The sequence below is a fragment of the Homo sapiens genome, chromosome 6 (assembly GCF_000001405.40).
Source record: "Homo sapiens chromosome 6, GRCh38.p14 Primary Assembly".
Taxonomy (NCBI): domain Eukaryota; kingdom Metazoa; phylum Chordata; class Mammalia; order Primates; family Hominidae; genus Homo; species Homo sapiens.
This window is the reverse complement of record NC_000006.12, coordinates 112713680-112732516: the sequence shown is the minus strand read 5'-3', so window position 1 is coordinate 112732516 and position 18837 is coordinate 112713680. Positions and strand designations below refer to the sequence as shown.

At 37.1% G+C, this 18837-nt stretch overlaps 2 long non-coding RNA genes across 5 annotated transcripts in view; one reads left to right on the top strand and one right to left on the bottom strand.

Moving 5' to 3' along the window:
* LOC107986634 (uncharacterized) overlaps positions 1-3141 on the top strand; it is a 117445-nt gene extending 114304 nt beyond the window's left edge. For 2 of the 4 annotated variants that reach the window (XR_001744301.2, XR_001744300.1), the window contains 5 exons: positions 582-664; positions 806-920; positions 1480-1667; positions 2691-2861; positions 3000-3141. This is a non-coding gene — a long non-coding RNA (uncharacterized LOC107986634). The remainder of the gene's footprint in view (positions 1-581; positions 665-805; positions 921-1479; positions 1668-2690; positions 2862-2999) is intronic. The other 2 variants (XR_001744302.1, XR_001744303.1) reach the window with 2 other exon arrangements.
* Positions 1-18837, bottom strand: part of LOC105377949 (uncharacterized) — a 79927-nt gene that overhangs the window by 37310 nt on the left and 23780 nt on the right. The window contains exon 2 of the long non-coding RNA XR_001744304.2: positions 14858-14990. This is a non-coding gene — a long non-coding RNA (uncharacterized LOC105377949). The remainder of the gene's footprint in view (positions 1-14857; positions 14991-18837) is intronic.

The window sequence follows — 18837 nt, the reverse complement described above, 5'->3', positions numbered from 1 at the left end:
ATTTCTTATATCTCAATCTGAAACTGTCTTCTTAACGTATGCCTATTTTCAAACCTGTAGTCCAAGGTGCTGTTACGTCTACAAGCCCTGGAGAGTCTTTTAATAAGTCTAATTAGTTTTCATGTGCTAGGTGCAGTTAGAGTTTGCTGTATACAAACAGTAACCCTCACTAAAACAGCCTCAAAAAGTTTACACGAGAATATTTAGCTGTGTCTTTTCAAAATAAGTTTTTATTCTAGTTCCATATATTTGGTTTGCCTTTTAAACATCATGCTAGTCTTAGTCTTCTGAGATCCTCTCTATGTCTATAAAAAGTGCTTAGGGTATTCACAGAACTGAGCAGTGCTTTAGGATATTTCCCTTTACTTTCAGCTAAGATATATATTATATATATGATATAATATATATATATCTTATATAGATAGACATCGATAGGAGTAGTGTGTGTGGGTATGTGTGCGTGTGTGTGTATCTTTTAGTGGTTATTGTGGTGAAGTATTCCTTGATTCAATGTATATATTAAATTGAATGTTATTGTCCCCTACTATTATTTATTCTCCCCTTCCTCTTTTTATTAACAGAACTTCCCACATACACCCCTTTTGGCTGAGCTGTATGGCCATAAGCGTAGAGACTTGCAGCTGTATGTGGCCGTGAATGAGAGGTATGATCCACAGTCATGTGCACAGCTTCCATTTCAAATCTTTTAAAAAGGTGCTTGACTTCCATGTTCTCTTCCCACCTCCCTTGTGCTGGTGAGATATCTTTCATCCTGTAAAGAAATTTACTGGAATAAATTCTCTAGACCCAGAGATGGAAGCTTCACAGCATTTGTGGCAGTAGCGGCAGAAATGCATCACACATTTGAGTCCCTAGATGGCCTTGTGGAGAAACGTCTACCTGCCACCCTGGACTATTAGGTAAGAGAGAAAACCATTCTATTTTATTTATAAATTTTGTGGAGTGTCTTCTGAAAAACAGTTTAGAAAAGACCCTAAATAATACCTCCTATAAAGCAAAATTTTCCACCAAACCTAGTATATTCATATAGAGTCATGTATTGTTTCATGATGGGGATACATTCTGAGAAATGCATTGTTAGGTAATTCATTGGCCTGTGACCACCATAGAGCATACTTACACAAACCTAGATGGTATAGCCTACTATACACCTAGATTATATGGTATAGCCAATTGCTCCTAGGCTACAAATCTGCACAGCATGTTACTGTACTACATATGCAGGCAATTGTAACACAATAGTATTTATTTGTGAAATTTCTTTAGATATGTATATATTTTATACATATCTAAACATAGCACAGGTACAATAAAAATATGGTATTATGGCATTATAATTTTATGGGACCACTGTCATATTTGTGATCTGTCATTGACCAAAATGTTATTATACGGCACATGACTGTAATCTGGCACAGAGTATTACATAGATGTTTTGTCAAATATATCTATTTCTAGCTGAAAGATAAGCGGTGGGTCCTGCTATCAACTTGTAGTAAATACCTTCCTTGTTATGATAAGGCATCACACCCTGTTGCAGTCAAATTCTTAACCACTGCAGTTCCATCACAGACATGAAAAAGATGCAGGCAAGATATGGAGTGTCTTCATGGGGGAGATTCAGAAGCCATGGATGGTGTAGAAAGGTAGGTGAATTCAGCTGCATTTAGCATCCAAGGCTGCCAAAACTGCCCATGGCCTAAATGAGCTGTTTGGGCAGTTGTCTACAGGAAGGGTTGAAAGGTATGCTGATGACCATTGCAGTGTACATCAAAAGTGACAAGATTAAACAAGGGGCATCCAAGGTAATGAAGAGTGTTCAGAGATTATAGGCATCTATTGATTATTGCTTTCCTTACTCTTAAACCCATCTCCACCATCTTTTTTTTTTTTTTTTTTTTTTGAGATGGAGTCTCACTCTGTTGCCCAGGCTGGGGTGCGATGGCACAATCTCGGCTCACTGCAACCTCTGCCTCCTGGGTTCAAGCGATTCCCCTGCCTCAGCCTCCTGAGTAGCTGGGACTAAAGGCACGGGCCACCATGCCTGGCTAATTTTTGAACTTTTTGGGTTTCGCCATGTTGGCAAGGCTGGTCTGGAACTCCTGACGTCAAGTGATCCAGCCTCCTTGGCCTCCCAAAGTGCTAGGATTACAGGTGTGAGCCACAGTGCCTGGCCCATCTTCACCACCTTAATTTGCAATAATCTCTTGTTTCATCTAATGGTTGTTAATCTAATATAATGCCCATACCTTTCTATTCTATCCTCATTGCTCTGTTTGTCCTCAGGAGCATAGCAAACTAGGAATGGATAGGAGCACAGCAGATGTTAGAATCCATACCTGTGTAATCTCTGGGGCTGGTCCAGGGTGGGAACTGACCAGAACTAACCAGATGTCCAAGGGCCAGAGATCAGAATCACATCCAAGAGCAAGGAAGCAAACAAAACCATGACTTGTGCAGGTCGTGGAGGTGCAAACGCTTGGAGAAAAGTCTGGAAGAACACAAACTCTGGGCTAAGGCCAGGCCTAACAGGCTAAGTAGTGCAATGAAAATAATCACACAAATTGACTAGATAATACAACTGAAACAAGCAACTGTAGAAATTCGCAGTAGGAAGGAAATTTAGATGTCATTTAATTTATTATTTCTTATTTATTTATAACTGGAAGAAATATTCTTCAAACAAAACCTTATGAGGAACAGAACCATAGCTCCTGAAACTGTGTGAAAGCAAGAGAAAGAGAGTCTTTTGTCAATAGTCTGTCCACACATATCCAGACCCAACCCAAAGTTACAACCTGACCTCCACGATCACTTTCCCTCACAGGGACCGCACTATGGTAAGTAAATAATGGTAAAGCAGTTCTGGTTAAAGAATGGGTGGAAAGTCTCAAAGCAGTATAATTTCTATGGAGTCTCAGGAGTTTTTATATTGAAATGTGGAATTATTGATTTTATAAAACTTTCTTATTTTACAGAGGAACACGCCAAAGTTGAGAAAGGGTAAGATTCTTGCCCAACCTCAAGACCAGTGCTATTCTCTTCACGCCAAGGCAGGAAGATCACTGAAGCCCAGAAGTTCGAGGCTAAAATGAGCTATGATTGTGCCAACGCACTTCATCCTAGGCAACATAGCAAAACCCTATCTCTAAAATATAAACAAGTAAAATAAATTTAAAAATAATTGTGGCGTGTGGCAATTATTGATAATGCCTCATAGCCCCAAATTCATCCCTGGTTGCCTTCCCTGTGAAAATAAATCTAGGCCCTTCACCTTTATTTTTTTCTTTTTTGGCTATCATGATGCTAAACTTATCAGTAGAGGGCAATACAAAGACATTTCAAGAAGGCAGAGGCTTCCCTCCTGGTAGTGCACTTTTTCCCCACTGTCTATTCCACGTGGTTTTCACCATTGTCAAGGGCTTAGAGGGTACAGCTTTCACAGTGTGTTTTCTACAGTTCTTGACTCAGGAAACAATGGCATAGTGGAAGCCCCAGAAAAATCTGACCTGTGCGCTAGCCCTGTTAACTGCTGCCCACAACCCTGAGTGATATGAATGTAAGGGGTACTGTGGAGCTGATAATCAGCAAGCTTGTGGCATGACCTCCATCCTGTGTAGCCCAGAGCCACCCTACCCAAGCCACAAATAGAAAAGCTCTGGGTTTTGATGCTGACTCTCTATGGTCCCACTTCTTAGCCTAAGATCACCTGTGCCCTAGAGAGTTGTACCTACTTCGCCTGGTGACTGTGGACCAGCTCTGCAGGAAGCAATTTACCAAATGTCTCTGCGATCCAGTGGTCAGCAATTACACCTTCTTCAGTGTGGTCATAGCCTCTTTCCAAATTTGTCCTTCCTTAACTACTCTCCCTGTTTTCATGTTTATAGTTGTTCTCTTATCATTGTTTAATAATTTTTATGTTAAATTTCCCATGTTTAAATTACTAAGTCGATATTGTCTCTTGATTGTACCCAGGCCAATAAATGGTACTATAAATATTGTGTTTATATTTCAATATACATTGTTTTAAGGTGACTCCCATGGAGTTTATAAGCAAGATAATGCTTGAGCAAAATCTAGTACATTGCAATAACCTAGGTGACCACATCATTTCTCGTGCAATAATCATTTTTATGTCTCATAAGATATATGAATATATTATAAATTAGAAACAGGAATAATTAAACAGAAAACAATAGCATATGACATGGCAAAGGCAATAAAATAAATATATAGGCAATATAGGAGCAACTATGAAAGACTAGGACTTGCAATATCATATAAAGGAATTTAAGAACCGAAATTGAGTAGTCATTCTTGTTAACAGTGTATTCATTTTGTTTTCATAATCTTATTATCATGCTGTAACTGTGCTATAAAAGAGATATTGACAAAGACATGCTTCAGTTAAGGCAGTTTACATATGAGCAAAAAATTTTGGAAACATTGGAATTGTTAGTATAAGTATAGTGAATCCAATCCAGATCACATAATCGTATCTCTAGATAATCTGTATATTCCTAGGCACATTTTGAAAAAAAAAACAAAAATATTTGATTAAAAGATATCAAGAAAAGGCTGTTTTCAGTTGGAAAACTAAAAAAAAAAGAAAATAGAGAAAATGTCATGGATATCCTAGCACCCACCATCCATTTCCTAGGAATAGTTGTCATAATTAAATGTAAAGAGTATTTTGTCAATTAATAAACATAGGCTGTTATAAGGCACAGTCTTAAAAACTTAGAGATGTGTGATAAGGTTTACAAATGAGTTTACTAATTAAGAATGTTTTTGTGTTATCACGTTTTAAAAATTACCCAAATTGGATTTAAATCTACAAAAGATAAAGTTTTTATTTCACATGTTGGATTTCCTTACCATGTGGTATGTCAGTTCATTTATTTTGTTTATGTGTTTGCTTGATTTAAGGCTGGCATCAAATAACCTTAGATGATGTGGGCCATAAGCTGCAGCTGAGGCAGATACGAGCTGTCCACATTACACTCTATTTGGGTGCTGTTTCTGCATTCTGTGGCCATTAGAGTCCCATCTCTGATCATCCATTTGGGTCTACTGAGTATAGAAACTTGTCTCTAACAATGCCTAGAGAGGCATGCACTGTGAATACTTTATTTTGAATTACAATTGTATTATATTTTTGAATCATTATAGTATGAAAACTCCCTTCCAGTACCATTCAGAAACCAGGTACCAGCCCTCACTTGTTTTCCAAGGGCCTTGGATTGACTTGCAAAATATGAACCTGAAAATATTACAATTACAATTATTTCAAAATATTTAATAGTTCAGACCTTTTAAGTTTCTTTGCCACTGGTCTACATCAGGGGGTTAAATTTTGCAATTATCAGTAGAAATGTTCAATCTCATTTAAAGTATTATATAGAAATGTGATATTTGCAATGTATTAACACTATATTGTTAGCAAAATTTCATACTGCTGATATTGGAAAAATATAATTAACCTGGTTCCAAAATCTAAGCACTTAATGCCTTCAATATAGGTAAAGGAAAAAAATCTTTAATATGGTGGAGAAATTATAGTAATATATATTAATTATTATTAACATTTCAGATTATTTTGTCAAGAAATCATTGCTTGCTCCCCAACCGAGGTATTTAATTCTAAGCAATTTTTTAAAAAATACTAGACTATCCATTTTTTCAATGAATAAGATCAAGGCAAATCCTCATTTGACAAATAAATTATCTCATAATTTAGCATTAAAGAAAAGAAAAAGTGGAAAAAGTTCCAAAACCTTAAAAATGTCCTAAAATTACCAAATTTATTCTTGAAGTTCAGATTTTTTTAAATTCTATGACCAGGATTAAATAGAAGCTCAAAAAATAATGGTTAAAAACTCTGGGCTATTCTTTTGTGCTGCTCTATTTCATTTGTGTTGTTTTAAGTATATGTATATATGAAAAAATAATATACTTACAGTATTTTGGTAGTGGAATAAATGACATCAAATTTTAAACAATTTTTGGCAGGTGGCACTTCGTAATTGAAATTTGATAATTCATAGTCACTTCACCCTACTTGTTAATTAAATCCTAAGACTTGCTGAGCAACAATTACACTTCTACAGCTCTGTTGATATAATGGCAAAACCATATTCTCCTAAAGACACCATTATTATGCCTGTTTACATACAATAGAGGTGGATTCTAAGATCTCAAGCATCCTAGCAGGCATAATGTGATAAACAGAGCTTGAATTTTGAGTCACAATCCTAGATGCGAGCCTCATTTTCTGACCTGGTTCTTGCTTTTTTTCTTATTTCCTCATAAAAATGAGAATAATGATAATCTCTACTTTACACAGTTGAAGAGAGGAGTAAGTTAATAACAGACCTATCAAAATGCCTATAGATGCCCAATGCGCGTGAATTTTTCTATTCCTTGCCCAAGGTCGCACAAATAATAAATGCCAGAGCCATAACTCAAACCCAGATTTCTTGACTCCAAAACCAAGTACCATTTTCCACATGGTTGACTCATTCTCCATTCAAAAATCTAGTTAAACGAAATGCATGCTACACTCAATCAGAGCCTATTATGTCAAGTACAGGGTAATTGTGCTCTGCCGTGTCTTTGCATGATTACAGTTTTTCTGTGCAAGATGCCTATACATGAGAGAAAGCTGCTGTGGTCTGACCTCTCTCATAGGAAGCTGGTTGCATTTTACCAATTTTCCTATTTGTGCCTCTTAGGAGTATATTGGCCTTTATTGACAATGCATACTTTTGTAAGTACCATGCATGCAGTGAACTGTCAAGGCGTTAAATGTCTAGACCTCATTTAAATGCACAAGGGAGAGATGCACAATTTTAACGGTGAAGGATGACGAGCTCCAGGTGAAGTGCTTTTTCTTCAAACAAGTTTCTGTAACCCACAGAGAATTAGATCCCAGTGGAATGGAACAACTTTTAACTATTTTCTCACCAGTATGTGTTATAAGCATGCTCACTGTATGGCAGGCCGTGTACTAGACACTGGTGACAGAATAAGCAGCAATAATACACAGTCCTGTCCTAGCGGATCTAGCAGTGTTACTGGGGGTGGTGGGGCGAACATAAAGCAAATGTTGACTATGATGAGTGCTATCAGGGTGCTGTACAGAGGGGTTATGAGAGTCTACAACAGGATACTTGACCTGTTCAGAGAAACCAGGGAAGGCCTCCTGGAGGGCATAAATCTTGAACCGACATATGAAGATAAGTAAGAATAACCTAAATGAAAAGAGGAAAAAAGTACATTCTCATATGCAGAACAGAATATGCAAAGGAACTGTGGCAGGAGGAACATGGCAAATGTGAGGGACTGAGAGTTGCAGAGTGGCTAAAGTAGAAAGAGGGAAGGGGATACTCATCACCCTCACAAGGTGGAAAATGAAGGTCACAGAAACAAAACGGTCAGTACCAATAGGCTACTTAAGAAGGAGGGAGTATTAACGTGGGTTATAGCTTTGGCTGTAACATAAAGAATGGATTGGAGAGGGACAGATATAGAAGCTTACTAGTGCAGTAGGAGGAGATGGAGGAAAGGAACACACAGAGAAAATTTCAGGTTGGTAATGGATCAGACACAGAGCAGGAAGGGAGAGGAAGTTGTCGAGGATGAGTTCTGGGCTTTGGACTAGTGTGGCTCAGATAAATTCTCAGCAATTGGTCCACCATCAGCCTGACAGCACAGTAGAGGGAATGAGCAGTGTCTGGGTCCATCAGCATCGCACTCCAAGGGGACAAGTCCCTTGGCTGCTGAGCCCAATGTCTGCCCTCCTCAAAGAGACACCTGAGTTTAAACCCACTAAAACATGTCTTGTTTTTCATCATTTAATGCAATGTACAAAGTGTAAATTCTTTAGGGTCTCTGCTGTCCTCTACAACACCTTTGTACGAATTAAGAAAAAGTGCCTCCATGGGTGGATGCAGTTACATGAGTGAGTGGATTTTATCCCTCATCTGTTGGTCATGCATCTGTGTATAATCCACAACTGTTCAACCACAACACCGGTACCCTCTCCGAGCCTTGACCTAGGACCTATATATCCTCCATATTCCACACCCTTTCTACATTTCTCTAGGAACAAGCAAATGCTGCTATGCCCCATAATTTTGGGGATCTTTTCCTCTACCTTATTATTTTTAATCCAAAACTTGACTTACCCTCTGAGGATACCACCTTCCTATAGCCCTCTTCTTCCAAGTTATGCCTGGTTTTCTCATATCCACATATCTGAGGGCCAAGACTCTCATTGCCACTGTCAGGTCAGTATTCCTACATGCTCTTTAAATAAAAAGCCTCCTTGGATGTTTGTGCATTATACTACAGTTGGATAATCACAAGGGCTCTGAAATCTGACTCTCTAGACTCATATCCAAGCTCTCTGCCTCTTATTAGCCCTGAAACCTTCATCAAGTTATTGGACCACCCTATGCCTTCATGTCTTCATTTTATAATGTGAAAAATAATATTACCTAATTCATAGGATTTTTGAGAATATTAATGAAATAATACATGGGAAGCATTTAAAGTTGTGTTTCACATATTATGTTATACCCAACATGTTAGATATTATTATTAGTATTAATTAGCTATAAAATTGTTTTCCCTTACTTATTTACCAACAAACAGGAAATTCGCTGATTCATGGGATACACTGTCATCTGAACCACAGTCTTTCATCATGCTAGCTGACATCAGTACCCATATGACCAACCAGTCCAGAATCAAACTCACACTCTGCTCCCATAGTGATATCTTTGACCATGTCATTAATATAAAATTCATTTTCCAAAATCACTAATTCAAACCTCCAATTCTCTGACTGTAGCCTCCATCCAACTTTTTGCTCAATTTTTCTTGCTCTGTTTTCTGACCACAGAAGGAAACCCTAGCCAGTGACTCCTAAACTGTTTCCTAAGCAAACAGCTCTCCCCTCTCTTCACTTCCATATCATATTAGGCTGAGATTTTAGACTTTGCTATTCCACAAACCTTCTTGCTTTTATGCTAAGTTCCCTTGACCATCTTTCTTTTTGGCACAGGGCTCAGAAAAAAAAGTGGTCTTATATCAACGCAATAATATCCTTTTTCTGTGCTAGGCAAAACCACAGGAACCAGTAAAAATGATTCTGCTAAAATTCATGAACAACAAAATCAAACAGATCAGCAATGAACCCAGTTTTTCACATTATTCCAAACTAGTTCTGACTGATTCCTTTCACTCAGACTTACTTTCAGTAATCTGCAGTCTGTTAGATTTGTTGTACAAGAAAATGAGGGAGTTTTTATCATCAGGCTTATATTCTCAGACCTACATTTCACTGATATTCTAAGTGGACAGATACATTCGTACAAGAGCTTATAAGCTAAAAATATCTCCAGACATGTTAGTAATGCCATTTTTATCATGACTACTTTTCCTGGTTTGCAGATTGAATGGATGTTAGGGCTGAGGCAGAGAATCCTGAACAAGACTGAGTTTAGGAGTGGAGGCAGGAAGCCATAATCCCTGAATAAACTCTACAACCATATTACAGTTCTACTCTTACTATTTAGTAATTTTCATCTCTAGAATTCATTTAGCTAGCTAACAAAATACCAACGACTATTTTGACAGATGCATCTACAATAGTTGTGGCACAATCCTTGATTAGATTTAGCAAGTGATTATGTCACTCAAAGCAAAAGTATCTTTGACCACAACTTGGATTTCAAATTAACAAATTTCATTTTTGCTAAATATCAGTGTGATGATTGGTCAATGTTCTAACCTGTGTTGACAATAAAGGGCAGTGTTATCTTCTCCTAATGTAAGTGGAAGCATAGTACTCATGATGTACACATCCATGACACTTCAATACTGTTTCTTTTCAAAGATACTCAAAGTGCTTGACCTACTTATCATCCTAAGAGCAAGAATTGAGAGAGACCAAGTGTTATTGGTCATATTTAAAATGTAAAGAAATTTAAGCAAAAAAACTTACTTGATTTATCTAAAGATGCGTAAAAAGCAAATGGTAGAACTCAGATGAAAGCTGATTCTCAGATTCCCAGCCTTTTCTATTGAATTTTTTTTTTTTACCAAAGATGATATTTCCTTCCACTGTAATTGTCATTTAAGATGATTACTTAGGCTTCACCTATTTTTAAAAATTCATCTTTTATTAAATGCCAGTGGGCCAGGCATGGTGGCTCACGCTTGTAATCCCAGCACTTTGGGAGGCCGAGGTGGGTGGATCACAAGGTCAAGAGATTGAGACCATCCTGGCCAACATGGTGAAACCCCATCACTACTAAAAAGACAAAAATTAGCTTGGCGTGGTGGTGTGAGCCTGTAGTCCCAGCTACTTGGGAGGCTGAGGCAGGAGAATTGCTTGAACTCGGGAGGTGGAAGCTGAAGTGAGCTGAGATCACATCACTGCACTCCAGCCTGGGTGACAGAGCGAGACTCTGTCAAAAAAAAAAAAAAATGCTAGTGGAGGAGATATTCTATTCTTGATTAAGAAGTAACTGATACTTTGCCCTTGACCTCTCACTCCCCTACATAAGAGAAATTCCTGGCTTTAGGCAATAAAATACAATCATTTATTGATCACATCTCATGATAAGGTCAGTCCGCTCTTCTTGTTTCCAACGCATTGTCTTTAAATATTTACAAAAATACCGATCAGACACTTCTACCACTGAACACAAGTATAAAACATGGCGTCTTTATACGGGAGGTTTGAGAGTCAAGCAGTCTCTTACCCAACCATTGCAGTTCCCTGCAAATAACAAAAAAGCTGCTTAATGGCAATTCCAACACATTGTGGTTTATTCCTTTCATATAAGTTCTCCAGAGATAGAAAGCACATGGGCTACTTCCTGTTTTTTTGCTGTATCATTTTAAAAATGGCTGCTTCCAGGTATTATTTGTTCACTCTATACAAAAAGAAAAGAGTAGGGAAAGAACCCAACAGCAGACTCAGGGCAAAACAGTGTCACCTGGAAACTCCTAGCTGCAAATTGCCTGAGAATGTAATGCTTGTCTTTTATTTTAGAGGCAAAGGAAAAGTGAGGTGAAAGGTATATTAAAGGAGCAAACCCACTGTTTCTGCTCCACAATCTGTCTTCCACCTCCACTCAACTCTATCTTGCCTAATCAAATCAGCCACTGATTCAGAGGGGAAATAGAGAGAGATGCTTTGGGAAGTACAGACTAGAAAAATTTTCCAAATTAGTTCTTTTTAAGTGCAACCTATACAAGCTCTCTCTGGCTCCCAGAGTCATAATTTGAATATTTTCATAAAAATAGGCATCTGCAAAAGTTGAGATAATTAATAAAACAGATATACAAGCTATACCAAAAAGAAAAGAAAAGCTCTTACAGTGAAATACCCAAGATATCTAAGATAGGAGATATATTAAATTGCTATTTCTGCTGCGTTTTTCATACTCTCAACTTGCTAGTTGTGTGTGCATTTAACAATAGGGAGACCTGTAAATAGCAAGGCTACTAATCCATTCTCATGAGGATATTTGTATTCACTTTTTTTTTTTTTTTTTTTTTTGAGAGGGAGTCTCACTCTGTGGCCCAGGCTGGAGTGCGGTGGTGTGATCCTGGCTCACTGTCAACCTCTGCCTCCCAGGTTTAAATGATTCTCCTGCCTTACTCACCTGAGTAGCTGGGATTGCAGGCACCAGCCACCACGCCCAGCTAACTTTTGTATTTTTCTGTACAGAAAGGGTTTCACCATGTTAGCCAACCTAGTCTCGAACTCCTGACCTCAAGTGATCCGCCTGCCTCAGTCTCCCAAAGTGCTGGGATTACAGGCGTAAGCCACTGCACCTGGCCTCATATTTTTTTTTAATGACTTACTCCTCTTTTCTACTCAGGACCACTCTGCCTCTAGGAAAAAGACTGGAGTCAAAACAACCTGTCATATTTAGAATAATATAAGACAAAGTTTGTGGCGTTTGCTATGTGACCTTGAGCAAGATATTAAATCTTTCTGAACCATATTTTTACCATCTAAAAACAGGATCTTTATAAATATACCAGAAGGAGGCAATGAATGTCACATGAAAGAGCACTTGTCACTGTACATGTAAGAAATTATTAGCAATGCATGACTTCATGCCCAGAGAACACTTTGAGAATCAGTGAAAAGTTCTGAGTGTGTGAAAATGGAAGGTCACTCACAAATGATATTGCTCAAACTCCTAGAGCCAGGATCTGCCAAAGATGATAATGATAATAATAATAAATAATGTATTCACAGGAACAATAATATAATAATTCTTATTGACAATAATTGTCTATTATTATCATTGCTATTATTTTAGTTAACATAATTTCTGGGGCTTCCTAAGTGTCAGGTACCTTGCTAAGAACATTAGATCTTTGTTCCTCCAAAGAAACCCATAGCATAGATGGGGAAACTAAGATTTGTGCAATCAAGTAAGTTGTGACCCTGGATTCAAACCTACATTTTTTTACTTTAAATTATTTCCTAGGGCATAGTATTCTAGGTAATCAATAAAGAATCTAAAATGACTTCATATAATTTTTGTCTATGAATTGTACATCTCCTTAACTGAAACATGAGCTCATTGACAGCATACAATGTGTGAATCTGGTTCATTGTTGTATCCCCACAGCCTAGGACAGTGTTCTCAGTGAATGAATGAATGTCTATTATTAGAATCAGCACACTAATAGGAGACCTTTCTTCTGATATTCTGGAAATTCATAGTACAATTTTTTGCCAATCCCTTCAATTGGTAATGAAAATTATTCACCTACTTAATCATAGGAGTATAAACCTTTATAGAATATTTTCCATTTTCAGAAATAGGTATAATTTAAAATCTCAAAAATATTTCTGACATATTCTCAGAAGTATTGGTGTTTACGACCAAATGATGCTTTATTAGCTGCATTAGAAAATGCACATATACACAACAGGTTACCATAAAAAGGAATACAATCATGTCATTTGCAGCAACATGGATGGAAATGGAGGGCATTATGTTAAATGAAGTAAACCAGGAAAAGAAACTTAAACTCCAAATATACTCCCTTATGGAGAAGCTAAAAAGAAAATTAATCTCATAGAAGTAAAAATGAGAACAGAGCATACTAGAAGCTGGGAAACGTAAGGGAAAGGGGGAGTAGAGGGAGAGATTTGTTAAAGGATACAAAGTTACAGCTAGATAGCGGAAAGGAGTTCTAGTGTTCTATAGCAGGGGTCCCCAACTGCTGTTCGTCTGTGGCCTGTTAGGAACCAGGTCACACAGCAGGAGGTGAGTGGTAGGTGAGGGAGCGAAGCTTCATCTGTATTTACAGCCATTCCTCATCACTCACATTACCACCTGAGCTCCACCTCCTATCAGATCAGCAGCCACATTAGATTCTCAAAGGAGTGCAAACCCTATTGTGAACTGTGCATGTGAGGGATCTAGGTTGTGTGCTCCTTATGAGAATCTAATGTCTGATGATCTGTCACTATCTTTTGTCACCCCCAGATGGGACCGTCTAGTTGCAGCAAAACAAGCTCAGGGCTCCCACTGATTCTACATTATGGTAAGATGTATAATTATCTCATTATATATTACAATGTAATAATAATAGAAATAAAGTGCACAATCAATGTAATGCACTTGACATCCCTAATCCCCACCACACACACACACCATCCAAGGAAAAATTGTCTTCCATGAAACTAGTCCCTGGTGCCAAAAAGGGTGGCGACTGCTGTTCTATAGCACTGAAGGACGAGTATAGCTAATGATAATATATATATTTAATAGCTAGAGGGATATTGAATGTTCCTAATACAAAGAAATGATCAACGTTTCAGATGATGGATATGTTAATTTCCCTGATTTGATCACTACACATTGAATGTATCACAACATCATTATGTGCCTTTGTGTACCTCATAAATATGTACCATTATTATGTGTCAATTTTTTTAATTAAAAAAATATTGAAGGAGGTTGGAGAGAAGATGGTGATAACACTTTTGGTTACATTGAATTTCAAGATGTTCAAGAGGGGATATCAAATGTCAATTGTAAAGCTGTATTTTAAACTTCATTGAGAGATTTGGGTTGAATAAAGAAATGTGTATGTCATCTGTGCATAAGTGGATATGACCTCCCCGAGAGACAGTTTAAAGAAGAGTAGAAGTCTAGCACTGAGCCTTGTGATGCCACAATAGCTAAAGGCCAAGTGGAGGAAGGACCAAAGGAAACCAGTTGGGAAGCTGTTTAATAATCCAGGCAAGTGCCAGTGAAAATCTGATCTGGCATGATGACAGTAGGACCGTAAAGAAAGGGAAGAATAAAAAGAACGTTATTATTTATTTTTTTAACACAAAGGAAACCAGCTGGTATGTGAGTAATTTCTTTGTGTCTTCCAGTGATTCCCAAAGCCCACTATCCATCACCATTACCTTGGGATGCTTTTAGTAATGCAATTTCCTAACACTCACTTTTTCCCACTCTTTCCCCTGAAAACTGGATTCAATAGGTTTGTGATGTAATCAAGGAACTGGTAACTTTACAAAGCTCTACCATTGGTGTCAATGAGCAGCCAGATGTGAGAACTGTTGGTCTAGGTGACCCATTTCAACTCCATTCCAGCTCAGTGATTTAAGTGACATTAATTGAAGTTGAAGATATTCAAAATATTACTTTCCTTATGCAATCAGCAGATGAAACTGGTCTATGTATGAGTGTTCCTCAAAGGTACTTAAGATTGATCCGATGAAGTGATAGAAGTTTAAAACCAAAGCCTTGTAAAGATAATTGATCTTCCTTACCATATTATTGTGAAAGAATGTGGCAATCTTGAAGAATTTTCTGACAAAAGAAGTTGGAATGAGGCAAGGAGAAATCAGCTGACCAGAGGCAGTATCACAAGACACTGTGTGTAATCTAAAGAGAAACGTGACCCTGAAATGGAAAGGAGAGGACAAGAGAGATTGTGTAACTTAAAATGAGAATATAAAGGGCAGCCTCCAAAATTTTCTATTCGTGGCATTTTCATTAGAGAGAAGTTATCAACAACAATAAAATTGAGCCAAATATGCACAAACCTGTGCATAATAATTTATTTATTCTTCTAGATATACTTATTGTTATAGATATTAACAGCATTATCTATAACTATGAGAGAATGGAAACAACTTGTGTCCAACATCAGGGCAACAGTTCAATAAATTAAAATGTCACTAATTTATCAGATGACTTCATATGTATACATTAAAAATGACCAAGAAAACTTGTGAAAAACACTAAAAATAACAATAAAAAAAACTATTTGTGAGATAACAGGACCGTAAAATAAAAATCAGAATACAAAATAGTATTATGGCAATTTTGTATAACAACACGGTAACTAGGTAGCAATTAGACCTGGGTAGGTTGGTGTGGGAGTATAGATAACATCTTCCATAATAGTTAAAAATGTGCTCAACTACATATAGCAGGAAACATAATAGTGGCATAATCAAGTCAAACATTAATTCTTTCTTATATAAAATAATTCCTAAAAAAGATGGTCTAGGACTGGTAAACTGACTTTATAGTATAATTTACATCTTAGTTTCCTCTCTGTCTGTTTTTCAGCCCCAGAATACGCCTTGCATTCTTAAGGTCAACTCCTGGCCCAAGATTACATTTAGTGTTCCAATTATTCTATGTTACAGCAAGGGAAAAAAGAGAAAGGGAGGGAGAGGATAACACACTATTTCTTTTAAAATGTCATCTGAGAAGTCCCAAGAAGTACTTCCACTTATATTTCATTAATCATAATTTAGTTACATGATCACACCTAGCTGCAAGTGAGGCCAGGAAATACAGTCTTTCAGCTGGGCACATGGCTACACCAAGTCAACTCAAAATTCCGTTACTCTTCTATTAGGAAGAGAAAGTAAATGGTACTTGGAATACACAGATTTATCACATTGTCTTATCAAAAGCATTTTAGGTATTTTGCATAAATCACACCCCTACCTAAAGTTCCAGAAGCTCAATAGTCATGAAAGGCTTAGGGAAAGTAATACACAGTTTCCAGTCACATCCCTTGAGGTATCCTGGAAGAGAGAACTTGAACCCAGCTCATTATTTGTGTTCAGATACCTATAAATATTTTCCTGGGTACCAAAGGAAAGGAGTCTAGGAAAGCTGACCAAACTGGACAAAGGTAACTGAGCGTGATTGATTTGAAGAACTGGGAGGAGCTGTGTATATACCAAACAATCCCCCATAGCTCTAGTCTGACTCCAGTGTGTCCCTCTGTGAATTCTGGTAGGGAGAAAGTTAGGGGAACAGAGTAAGATCTGTGTGATCACCAGCTCAACATTTTCCAGGTAGGAGGCCTGACTCTGGGCCCAGTGGGCGACATATCCGTGCCCCACCTATGGTCCCCCACCCTTAACACGGGAGTGCACACAGACCAACCTTTAACTGCCAGATACTGCACTTCTCAGCCTCAGGATGTTCTCTTGCCTCCAGAAATGTGGCAGATCAGAAGTCAAGAAATTAACGTTCCTGGGAGCAGCCCTCATTCTGGGAGAAGCCCTCATTCTGTCACGGACTGGAGTTTCTCTATAAACACTTCCGTTTCCTCTCTCCAGGTGGCATGCAATCTTGGGCCGACAAATTATATAGCTAGTCCTGAACTGTTGTGAATGACTATGACTCCAAGTTATGGGGCACTGGCTGCTGCAAGAACTTATATAGTTGTATAATGGAAGGGACAAGCTCAAAAAAGAGCCTAACTGAAGTTACCAGGAAGGAATTTAGAGTGAAGCAAAACATATAGCTTTAAAATGATATATACACACTGATACTTTCCATATAGGACCTGCCATATTTCCCTGCATCACAATGTGAAATGCTCTGATTAATTGACTCTGTAACTGGGCAGCATGCAGGTGTTGTCTTATGAGGGGTAGGAGAGGTTAAACTATTGACAGAATCCCACAAGAGACCAAGGTATGCTCATTATATAGATTCCCAGGAACACTTGGAAGAAGTAAAATGCAAATGAGTTTTAATTACAGTTATCCATTTTTCAAAAATTATGCTATTTTCCAGTCTGCCCTACTCTTTCTGGTGAAAGGAAAGTTGTGTTGATTTCATACTAGATGCTTCATTCAATATATGTTTATCTCTGTCTCTTTATGTAGGATGGAACTAAAAAGTGTTATGAAACTTACCAGGGGTCCTTTCATTCATTCATTCTTTCATTTCATTCATCCATTCATGTATCAACAAAGCCTTGCTAAATGCTCTATGATTTCAGTCATCTTTCTAGAATGACTATTTGACTCTTAAGGATTTTGGCAAAGTGAATCAGAATATAATTGGGTACTGGATAAAACTTTTTAAAATAATAATTGACATCAGATTTTAAAATGATTATATTATTTCACTAGTTATTTGGCTAATAAACATTCCAGGAACTCTTGGCATTTACTATTGAGTAACATGACAAAAACAGGAATGATCACACAAACCATTCTGGCTTTGATCTCAATGGCTTTATGATTCTTGAACAGTTGTTTAAAACTAATGATTTAGCTCCTGATGCAAAAGTATTTAATTGTTTATATGGATTAGTCATTAAATCTTACTTTCTGTGTAGATGTAATTTTACCTCAGGGCAATATACATAAAAATGCGACTAAAAAATAAAGGTGATATTAACCTCTTTAATTGAAAATAAACAAGTTTTTACTTAAATACAGAGTTACTGGTTAAATAAATCACAGGATACTTGTAATCTTCATAAAGACAAAGGTCTTCATTATTGGTAAACAAAATTTATGTTACTAGAATTCTTCTATAAACTTGTGCATACTTCTACTGTTGAAAATAGATCTAACAGTGAAATGTTTTTTATTTAAAAATAAAATAAACGTACAGTTTTTAAATGTTTATTTTAACTTATATTCCCATGCTAATTTCTCCAAACAAATTGTGTTCTCATGAGAATCTCATCTGAGATTGTTTTGGAGACAGGGTTTTTGATGTCAGTATAAGCAAAACATGTGTTATCTACTGACATTTGGAGATCTCCATAAATATAGATCTCTTGCTTCCTGTCATGCTATACTATGGAGAACTCCACACTATATGACAGGAGGCAAGAAAACAACTGTGACTTAAGAAGACCCAGCCTAATGTCACAATAGCACTTGATGCAAAAATGGCCTTGGAAAGTTGCCTCATATTTCATAGTCCCAGTTTCCAAACCTATGAATTGAAATAATCACGTATCACATTAACTTTATATTTTAGCATTCATGGCTACTATTAAGAGAACTAATTTTATCAATAGCCCCTGATGTTAGTGATGGAAAATAAAGTATGCATGAAATTCAATTGTAAGAATAAAAGGAAATAAACAGTAATGATTAGTAAACTACTGTCAATAGTCATTTCCCTTTATCTGTGGGGGATATGTTCTAAGATTTCCCCTCAGTGTACCCCCTCCATCTACACAAAATTACTATCCTGAAACCACGAATAGTACCAAACCCTACACATAATATGGTTTTCCTTATACATATATACCTGTGATAAGGTTTAATTTATAAGTTAGGCACATTAAGAGATTAACAATAACTAATAATAAAAAAGAATAATTATACTACACTGAAAGTTATGAGAACGTGACCTCTTTCTCTCTCAAAACATCTCATTTTACAGTACTCACTTCTTCTTTTGATGATGTGAAACAATAAAATGCCTATGTGATGAGATAAAGAGAGGGACTGTGACATAACATTAG